The following is an 11,073-nucleotide window of genomic DNA, read 5'->3' as shown; positions in this document are numbered from 1 at the left end:
GGAATGCTTTTCATACTGCACATTTTTCACCTATCAGCTTTGGGATCAGGCATATCTAGGAAAGACTCCTGGCTCCATCACTTTTAGGGCTGTGTGACACTGTGTAAGTAACTTCGCCTCTCCAAACTTCAGTTCTCCGTACAATAAGAATAATAATTGTACATACCTCACAGGATTGCTGTGGAAGGTTAATGATTATACACAGTATTGGGTGATAATAAATACTAATGTGTTTGTCATTATTATTAGCAGTAGTTATGTTCCAGTATTTCCCTCTTGTGTTATTAGCAATAGATCAATGCCTCCCCTCTCTGCTCTATTTTATATGTCTCTGGGACACCCAGCTGAAATCCTCCAAGCTGCTAGAACAAGGCCAAGCTTGAAAAAATGATTAGAAGGGAAATAAGTTTATCTTACTTAAGTATCCACTTGCACTAGTGTTTAGCTTCTCTCTCTCCTCAAGATGTGATGAGACAATTGTTAGGAGGGTACTGGCCACTACCACCTCCTCATGTTTGTATAAAGTCATTCAGAACACTTTGCTTTCTCCTTTGAGCTTCATGAAAAACACAAGTGAAAGGTGAACAAACTGAGGCCCAGTGAGGAGCAATTGACGTAAACAGCTCCTCTTAAACGGAAGAGCAGGACCCAGGTCTGCCAGAAAAGAACCTAATAATTTACGCTAGCTAGCTCCTGCCTGAGAGTGCTGCATACTCTCACATAATGGTGCCAGCATGGTGCAGAAGGTCAACTTCTGACTCCCTCTGGCCTGACAAGATTGTCCGGAGAACTGACGGATCCAGATTCACTCTCACTTGCCAAGCATCTTACTGAGAAGGTAAAAGGATCAAGCAGGTGATTTCATGGAGCTGGGTAGAAGCTACATGAGCACAGGCCCTGTGCTCCTGCTGCCCAAGTCTTGGGTAGGACCACACACATCTTGCAACAAATGGGCAGAGATCAGAGTAACCCTGAAGTAGATAAAGATGCTGAATATAAACAAAGATGATTAAAGAGGCTATGGATTCAGGACACTGAATTTTGCTGCAGTGAGAGGAACCCTGGAGTCAGCTTTCTAACAGCCTGGCCATGTTTAGTTTATCAAACCTGGGCAGAGCAAAAGCCTCGGGATCCACTCACTCCATCAGAAACAAGTCTGAACAAGCCAGGTACTGTCCATCCGATACCCAGGCGTTTTGACGGTTCCTCTGTGGCCACCAGCCAAATGTAAATGGAGAATTCCAAGTCATCCATCATGCTTTAGCCACGCACGAGGTTAATGCCCTGTCTTTTAAAAGCACACAAAGGGCCATTTGAGTAGGAAAGTCCCACCAAATCCTGCTGAAACACCCGGCCCACTTTCGGATCATTTTTCTGAAGTGTCTTGGTTTGAAGGCACAGCTGTTGCTGAGATCCCTGAAAACAGCCTGCTGTTCTCTGTGGAAGCTATGGTAGATTAGTGTGGTTCAGCTGAGATACAGTCAAGCCCTTCAGACTGCCCCTTCCTCCAAATAACAAGCTGCTGACAACCTGATGTGGATTTTTACCAAAGAATCCATGTTTGCTTGCCTGCAGGCAAAGCTGGGTGTAGATTGAACTTCATGCGTGACTTTAGGCATGTCATCTCTCCTCTGTGGGCCTTGAGTCAAGACAGGAATGGATCCCACTCCATGCTGGAAAGTCCACTAACAAATGTGCATTTAGCACTTCTGCTTTCCAGGAGGGTAATGAATAAATGTGGCCTTCTCTGAATCAACCCCAGTAGAGTGGCTTTCGGAGTTCCCCAAAACATGAGACATAAACCAAGGACAAAGCCAGGATCAGGTTTATGCCTGCAACAGCTGTGGCTTTCAGATTGTTTCAGGTTGAAGAGGCTGAAACAACAGCTGCAGATCTATTCTTTGTCCTTGGGCTTGGACATAATGGGTGCAAATACAATTGAGACACCACCACCATGGCCATTTTCTGCTTTAGTAAATCCTAAGTTATGTCTTGGGGTCTGTGAAGTAAGATGGAAAATTAGTCATTCAGTGCAACCTAACCAAAAATGAATACATGTAGTTAGGTACCCCCAACCCCTATGACTTTCCAAATTCAGATTAATATTTTTGCTTAAAGATGTGCCAGATTCATAGAGTTGTAAGAGCCCTTTACATTATGGAGTATACAGGAAGTGGATAGCCTTTCTAGGTCATTCCTCATTCTCATGTCTCTAGCAGACATTGTTAGTGGGTCACAGAGCTCTCACCTTCTATCAGACATTCCTTCTCATCACAGAGGTGGTCTGGGCAGTCCCGGGCAGTGATAAGGGGTTCGTACTCAAGATAAAAGTCGTTTGCCGTCCCTGACCTAGCCCAACTCATGCATCTGCTTTCCACAGATAGAAAACAGGGCCAGAGATGGGAAGAACCCGGCCAATGCCACAGAATGAATCAGTGAATTTGTGGGAAGCTAAATAAAAGGCCTAGAATTCTTACAAATGTCAAGGAAAAACCATATTACTGCTTACTTTGCCTATTGTGCTGTATTTGTTCTCTCTTTCGGTTTTCTAGATTATTTGAATTGGCTTTTCCTAATTTTCTGTTTTTTTTCCTTATCTAAAAGCAATACTCACTCTATAGAAGTACAAATAAATGAAATGAAAAAAAAAACCCACTCAAATACTCACACATAATAAAACCATTGGTGAGTAAGGTCTATATACCTTTTCTATATATATATATATGTATATAGATATTATCTGTAATATGGAAATAATTGAAGCTTCCTTCTTAGAATTTCTGGTTACAATAAATCCTTAACAAAAACACGATTTCAGGCCAGGCACAGTGGCTCATGATTGTAATCCCAGCACTTTGGGAGGCTGAGGTGGGCGGAATCACTGGAGGTCAGGAGTTCGAGACCAGCCTGGCCAACATGGTGAAACCCCATCTCTACTGAAAAAAAAAAAAAAAAAAAAAACAAAAATTAGCTGGGCATGGTATGTCTGTAATCCCAGCTACTCAGGAGGCTGAGGCAGGAGAATTTCTTAAATCCAGAATGTGGAGGTTGCAGTGAGCCGAGATTGCGCCACTGTACTTCAGCCTGGGTGACAGAGCAAGATTCCTTCTCATAAAACTAACGTGTTTCTGAAGGCGAACAAAATAAAAAAACAAACCACTATTTGTGGGGAAGGGGGGGATGAACAGAGGTTGTCTAATGGGTCTGAACATACAGTTAGATAGAAGGGAATAAGTTCTAGTGTTCAATAGTAAAGTAGAGTGACTACAGTTAACAATAATTTATTGTATATTTCAAAATAGCTAGAAGAGAAAATTTGAAATGTTCCCAACACAAAGAAATGATAAATGTTTGAGGTGATGGATATGCCAATTACCCAGATTTGATCATCACACGTTATAAGCCTGTATCAAATTATATGTACCCCATAAATATGCACAATTATTATGTATCGATTTAAAAATTGTACTTCAGGTCATACCCTCGAAATGGACCTACACTGCACATATTGTTTTGTGACCTGCTTTGCATAAATGTTCATCAATCATAATGTCTAAATATGTATTTAACTTCCGTTGTTAGTCATTCAGACAGACTGTTACCAAATTTTTGTTACTCTCAGTAATATCCAGGAGAAATCTCTGCTCACAAATGTAATTGTTTTCTTATGAAAATTTCTAGAGGGAATCTGGGTCAAAGGGCAAACACATTTTAAGGACTTTTGACACATATTGACACATTGCTTCTCAATAACACTCAAAGCACAGGACCTGCAGTGTATGAAAGATGAAAGGAGATGCCTTTTAGCAGCTTCTTCATCACGGGGTAGGGTATCATCACTTCTGCTGTTCTCTTATTCTCCTGTCTGTATGCTTTGTGTAGCAAGGTGGAATGTAGGATTCTCAAGGGTGAAACGGCATTTTTGCTGTATCCATGGTGGATGTAACTGAATGCATAACAGTGATAGTAATAACAAATTAATATTCGTGTAGAGTTTACTAAGTGGTAGGCACCAGGCATCAGCTCCTAGGGTTGACAGCTCATTTTGTAGGGGAAGCTCAGAAAGGAAGAGCAACTTACCTGATGCCACACAGGGACAGAGCTCAGCTAAGCCTGACAAGAGCCTGCCCCCTAAGGCCCTTTGCTATGCCGCCTCCATGTAAGCAGTGCAAATAAATATTTGTGCATAGGTTGAATCATTCGTTATTTTCCTCTGGTAGAACAACACGAGAAACTCAGAAGGAGGCAGCCATAAAAATGGGCTAAAAAATGCCAGCTGAGTTCTCCCGGTCAGTCCTGACTTGAATAGTCCCAAAGGATTTGAGCAATGCTAGGTTTGAGGCTATGGCCCGAGGGAGTATTTTAATGAAGGGTTTCTTATGACTGAGAACTCTAAGAAGGAAGCTTGAATTATCCCCGTATGAAAATACAGCCATCTAAGATTATCAGTGGCATTTCCTTTTTATAGTGTTTGGCACTAATAATAGCCCCAAACTCCTTAACCCAACTTTCCAGCTTTTTAAAAGAACAGTACTTAGGAGAATGTCTGAACGCTGGGACTGACGGGACTTATTCCATCTAGTGCTTTCTCCCCGAAGGAGAAGGGGAAGGGGGCTCGGGGTTGATGGCTGCCTGCCTGCGTGCTGTGAGCCTAGATTCTTAAGGAAGTGAGGTGGGGCACGTGAGTCTGGAGGAGGAGAAAGGCCATGAGGTTTTTTATGGAGAACTCAGAACCAAGTCAGCAATGATCTGTCCTGGGCTCCAGGCCCTCTCTCCATGCTCCGTGGCAGCCCTGTTCCCGTTAGGCCCGTGGTCAAATTTCTAATAGGGGATCTGAGAAGCAATTGGCCAGCCTCTCCGAGCGCGCCTGAAAGGTCTTCGCAAAGCTGAGAGCGATTTTACAAACTAATGTGTTTCTGAAGGTGCCCTGTCCTTTCTCACTTCCATGTTTCTCCCACAGCATACCTGGTAGCAGGCCCTCTTCCTGCCACGTGCTTGTGGAACAGTTCATTACGTTTCAAAGCTACTTCTGTAAAAATCATTTTTTGAGGTACAATCGACATATATTAATATATCTCCATTTTAAGTGCACATACAACTTGATAATTTTTTTTTTTTTTTTTTTGAGACAGTCTCACTCGGTCACCCAGGCTGGAGTGCAGTGGCTCAATCTCGGCTCACTGCAACCTCCGTCTCTAGGGTTCAAGAGATTCTCCTGCCCCAGCCTCCCAAGTAGCTGGGACTACAAGTGCCCACCACCGACCCAGCTAATTTTTGTATTTTTAGTGGAAACGGGGTCTCGCCATGTTGGCCAGGCTGGTCTCGAACTACTGATCTGAAGTGATCTGCCCATCTCAGCCTCCCAAAGTGCTGGGATTACAGGCATGAACCACTGCCCCCCGCCACAACTTGGTGAATGTTGACAAACGTCTGCACCTGCCCCAATCAAAATTTAGAACATTTCCATTCCCTCAGAAGTCTCCTGCCACCTCCAGCCAGTCCCCTCTCTCACCCCAGCCCCAGGCAACCACAGATCTTCCTGTCAGTATAGCTTAGTTTTGCCTTTTCCGGCAGTTTCACATACGTTGACTCATAGAGTTGTTTCTGGTTTCCTTCACTCAATATAAAGAAAGGAATCATCAATGTTGTTGCATATATTAATAGTTTTCATATTACTGGGTAATAAACTATTGTGTGGATGTACCACAATCTATCTGGAATTTGAGTTATTGCCAGTTTTCGATTGCTATGAATACAGTTGCTATGCACATTCATGCACAAATCTTTTTGTGGGCATATAGCATATAGGAAGTATGTGGCCTTTCTGGGTCATTCTCATGTCTCTAGCAGACATTGTTAGTGGGTCACAGAGCTCTCAATTTCTATCAGACATTCCTTCTCATCACAGAGGTAGTCTGGGCAGTCCCTGGCAGTGATAAGGAGTTTGTACTGAAGACAAACGTCGTTTGCCATCCCTGACCTAGCCCAACCCATACATCTGCTTTCCACAGATGGAAAACAGGGCCAGAGATGGGAAGAACCTGGCCAGTGTCACAGAGTGAATCAGTGAACTTGTGAGAAGCTAAATAAAGGGCTTAGGTGATTCATTTCTCTCAGGCTAGTAAATACCTAGGAGTTGAATTGCTGGGTCATAGGGTAAGGGATAAATAAACTGCCAAACTGTTTTCTAAAGCTGAATATTCTTCTAAGTGATATCTCACAGTGGCCTTACTTTACAATTCCGTGATAACTAATAATGTTGAACATTTTTCATGTATTTGCTGGCCATTTATATATCATCTTTTTTGAAGGGTTTGTTCAAATCTTCTTCTTCTTTTTTTTTTTTTTTTTTTGTGAGTTGCCTTCTTTCATTGAATTTTAAGAGTTCTTTATGTATGTTGGGTACAAGTCCTTTATCTAATATTTGCATTGCAAATATTTTCTTCCAGACTGTGGCCTGCCTTTTCAGTTTCTTAATAGTACCTTTCAAAGTACAGGCAATTTTTAAATTTTAATGAAGTCTAATTTATCTTTTTTTTCTCTCTCTTATGGTTTATACTTTTGTGTCCTGTCCAGGAAATCTTTGTCTACCATAAGACTGTAGTTTGTGAACATTTTCTCCTATTTTTTTTCTAGAAGTTTTATAGTTTTAGCCTTTACTTTGTCAACCTAAAATAATAAAATTTAGAAAATATGATTAAATGTAGAGTTTTTTTGAGCACAAAGCTTGAGGACAGCCACCCAGGAAGCACAAATTTGAAAGATGGAATTGTACTGTTGTGCTCTGAAGTGCAGAAGTTTGGGGTGGTTTACATAGACAAAGTTTAGGAGAAAAAATCAGAATTTTAACTTTTTTTATACAAGGCTTTTTTTTTTTTTTTTTCCTGAGACAGACTTTCATTCTGCAACCTAGGCTGGAATGCAGTGGCACCATCAGCGTTCACTACAGGCTCGACCTCCTGAGATCAGGTGATCCTCCCACCTCAGTCTGCTGAGTAGCTGGGACTGCAGGTGTGTGCCATCATACCCAGTCAATTTTTTATAGACACAGGGCTTCGCCGTGTTGCCCAGGCTGGCCTTAAACTCCTGGGCTCCAGTGATTATCCCACCTTGGTTTCCCAAAGTGCTAGGATTCCTGCTGTGAGCCACCATGCCCGGCCTTATGTAAGGCTTAATGCATAATTACAATGGTCTGATTGGTGAAGGTCATCTTTTTCTTTCAGGAAAGATATACTGAACATTCCATACTGAAGATGAAACAGTCATGAGGTCTTTTGCGCCATCTGGTTTGAGTTAGGTACAGAATAATGCAGGAGACAATCTATAACAAAGGTCAGTGATTAGAAGGGGAGGACATCTGGTCTCTGGTCTCTCCCAGTCATTTATAGCACAAGAACAATGAGAAAAGAGAGTTGATCTATAATCTAAGAAGCAGAAGTTGCAACTACATGCTAAGTGACTCAGATCACCAGTTCTCTCTCAAGGTTTAAAGTCTTTTTGGAAGCCAGGTGTGGTGGCACATACCTATAATCCCAGCATGCTGGAAAGCCAAGGTGGGCTGATTGCTTGTGCTCAGGAACTCAAGACCAGCCTGGGCAACATGGCGAAACCCTGTCTCTACAAAAAAATACAAAAATTAGCCAGGTGTGGTGGTGCGCACCTATAGTCCCAGCTACTCGGAGGCTGAGGTGGGACTTTGCCAGAAAAAAAAAGTGCTTTGGGGGTTCCAACAGCTTTTGAATGTATTTATGTTCACAACTTTTGTCTCTATTATTTATTTCAAATTAATTTTTGTGTATGATGTGAGCTAAAGGTCGAAGTTCATTTTTTTCATATGGCTGTCCAGTTCTTTCAGTACCGTTTATTGAAAAGATCATTCTGAGCAGCAACATGGTGGTTGGCAAGAACAAGTACCTTACGAAAGACAGCAAAAAGGGAGCCAAGAAGTGGCTGATCCATTTTCTTTTTTTCTTTTTTCTTTTTTTTGAGACAGTCTTGCTCTATCCCCCTGGCTGGAATACAATGGTGTGATCTCAGCTCACTGCAACCTCCGCCTCCCGAGTTCAAGCAATTCTCATGCCTCAGCCTCCTGAGTAGCTGGGATTACAGGTGCCTGCTACCATGCCTGGCTAATTTTTTTTTTTTTTTTTTTTGAGATAGCGTCTCACTCTGTTGCTCAGGCTAGAGTGCAATGGCACGATCTCGGCTCACTGCAACCTCTGCCTCCCAGGTTCAAGCAATTATCCTGCCTCTGCCTCCCAAGTAGCTGGGATTACAGGCGTGTGCCACCACACACGGCTAAGTTTTTGTATCTTTAGTAGAGACGGGGGTTTCACCATGTTGGCCAGCCTGGTCTCAAATTCCTGACCTCAGGTGATTCACCCGCCATGGCCTCCCAAAATGCTGGGATTACAGGCTTAAGTCACTGCGCCCAGTCTAATTTTTCTATTTTTAGTAGAGACGGGGTTTCACCATCTTGGCCAGGCTGGTCTTGAACTCCTGACCTCAGGTGATCCACCTGCCTCGGCCTCCCAAAGTGCTAGGATTACAGGTGTGAGCCACCACCCCTGGCTGGTTGATCCATTTTCTAAGAAAGATTGGTACGATGTGAAAGCATGCTATGTTCAGTAGAAGAAATACTGGAAAGACACTGGTCACCAGGACCCAGGGAACCAAAATTGCACCTGGTAGTCTGAAGGGTCGTGTGTTTGAAGTGAGTCTTGCTGATTTGCAGAATGATGAAGTTGCATTTAGAAAATTCAAGCTGATTACTGAAGATGTTCAAGGCAAAAACTACCTAACTTCCAAGGCATGGATCTTACCTGTGACATGGGGGAGAGAGTGGAATTTAGCCTAAGTCAGCCTGGTCCCAAGGTTCCTTAATCTGGAACTCTAAGGCCTTTTTAGAATATTATCTTAATTGTCTGCTTGTCTGTTGAATGAAAAGGGATCCATGTAGGCCTCACGCCTGTAATCTCAGCACTTTTGGGAGGCCGAGGCAGGTGGATCACCTCAGGTCAGGAGCTCTTGACCAGCCTGGCCAACATGGTGAAACCCCGTCCCTACTAAAAATACAAAAAATTAGCCAGGCCTGGTGGCAGATGCCTATAATTCCAGCTACCCGGGAGGCTGAGGCAGGAGAATCGCTTGAACCCAGGAGACAGAGGTTGCAGTGAGCCGAGATCGCCCCACTGCACTCCAGCCTGGGCAACAAAAGTGAAATTCCGTCTCAAAAAAAAAAAAGAAGAAAGAAAGAAAGAAAGAAAGAAAGAAAGAAAGAAAGAAAGAAAGAAAGAAAGAGGCTCCATATAATTGGTATTGGAAATTTCTCCTCAGTCATCCGTAACTATCAAACTGTTAGTGCAATCCTGAACTAAAGGTCTTTAATTATGACTTTGTTCATCACAAAGGTTTCCGACTCTTTGAAAAAGACAGAACATCATTATTTCTTCCGACAAGTGCTTCTTCAAATGGGATCCCAATCCTTAAACCTTGCAGGAATATTGACATTGGGAGGAAGCCAGTGCTCAGCCCCAGTTAGTATTTCTCATCTTTAGGTAAACTTCTCCTTTTAAAGCTGTTTCCTGGGCTTTGCTTTTTACTTAGAGAACTTTGGTTACAGAGAACACATGGGAAGGGTTTTGCGACTGTACTAATCAATAAGCTTCAATAGGTGGGATGGAAATGATGGGCTTAAGTGGTCCCTGGAGACCCTCCGTGAGCCAAATGCACTTTCAAGATATCTACAACAGTGGCTTTTTTCCCGTCTCTGTGCCTGTGTCATTTACTATTCCTAGTTTTAAACCCATGTCTCTATTCAGAGAAAAAGACTACCTTGTGCGTTTGTTGCACTTTCTTTGAGATGAAATTTTTCCGGCCTTCAAAGAAAACCCTTTGATTTCCAGCCTCTGAGTCATAGTTTTCATATACTATTGAAATCACTCACAGTCTGTGAAAAAGGATGTGCGGTTATGGAGGAGAACTGTGGCCCAGGAAGTAGCATGAATCATTGAAATGTGGTGCATGGAGAACCACCCTCCATGGGCAGTAAATTCCCTCTACCCCCTTCCTCTGCCCTCAGCATCACCTCCCGCTGCCTGCTCCGGCAATTGGTCTAACATACAGGCTCATCAATATGTGTCTGAGTTAGTTGCCAACATCAATTGTTCGCACCTGTATAACTCTCTGTAGTTTGCAAATATTTTGAATCATTTATCGACATCTGCACCTGTTCATTCAGTAAATATGAATTTAGTAGTAACAGTAATATTATGGGCCCACCATGAGACAGTTCACCAGACATCAAACCTATGGTAATTATCAAGAGTTATAAGTCATGGTCACTGCCAAGATGGAGTTGGTAGTCTAGGGCGGGGATTTTTTTTAACATAATTCAGTGAAATTTAGTTGAATTGTAATGTAAAATGTATTTCCTACTGAGGATCACAGTCAAAAACATTGGAAACACACTGGTTTAGTGGAGGCTATTGTCAAAAGCCCCCAAATCCGTCCTCCTCATGGCCATCAGAGAGTCATAGAGTCTAGTGCAGGAGGCAGCCATATTATTACTATCATTGCTTGTAAAAGTGTTTGCCAGGCACTGTATTTTGCTGCAGAAGCAAAGGCAACCAAACACACATGTCCTCATCTTTATTTTGGGGGCTCCCCATGACCCTCAGAATGAAGGCTCAACACCTTCACCTGACCCAGAAGCCACATCCAGATCTCGCCTCTGACTATCTCTCTGGCTCCCTTCCCCATTGCTCATAACACTCCCCCTCTTCCTCTACAGATGCCCTCCTGACGCTAGCTGCCTGGAAACACCTCTCCGTCTTTGAACACTCAGCATGAGTATCACTTCCTCTGTGCCTTTGCCCCTCTCCTCCAGGCAAAACTAACTGCTTCATGCTTGGTCTCCCACAATTACCTTCCTCATCCCCCTTCTTCTGGCACCCTTTTTTGGGAAAAGGGGGAAGATCTTGCCGTCTCCCACCCCTTGCCACAGGGTGCTGACAACAGGCAGGGCTTGTAGCATAGGCTCCTGATTTTGGCCTAGAATGCCATATTCTGTCT

General features: G+C 43.1%; 3 annotated features.

Moving 5' to 3' along the window:
- Window positions 1,590–1,649: an enhancer, noted in NCBI's record as "active region_23527". NCBI's record gives its function as "activates an Ori minimal core promoter by ATAC-STARR-seq in GM12878 lymphoblastoid cells {active_cell/tissue: GM12878}" and the evidence as "EXISTENCE:reporter gene assay evidence [ECO:0000049][PMID:35858748]".
- Window positions 1,830–1,909: an enhancer, noted in NCBI's record as "active region_23526". NCBI's record gives its function as "activates an Ori minimal core promoter by ATAC-STARR-seq in GM12878 lymphoblastoid cells {active_cell/tissue: GM12878}" and the evidence as "EXISTENCE:reporter gene assay evidence [ECO:0000049][PMID:35858748]".
- Window positions 10,914–11,073: an enhancer, noted in NCBI's record as "active region_23525". NCBI's record gives its function as "activates an Ori minimal core promoter by ATAC-STARR-seq in GM12878 lymphoblastoid cells {active_cell/tissue: GM12878}" and the evidence as "EXISTENCE:reporter gene assay evidence [ECO:0000049][PMID:35858748]".

This window comes from Homo sapiens, chromosome 5 (assembly GCF_000001405.40).
Source record: "Homo sapiens chromosome 5, GRCh38.p14 Primary Assembly".
In the NCBI taxonomy this organism is placed as follows: domain Eukaryota; kingdom Metazoa; phylum Chordata; class Mammalia; order Primates; family Hominidae; genus Homo; species Homo sapiens.
The sequence above is the reverse complement of the archived record's forward strand: the minus strand, read 5'-3'. Positions and strand labels throughout refer to the sequence as shown.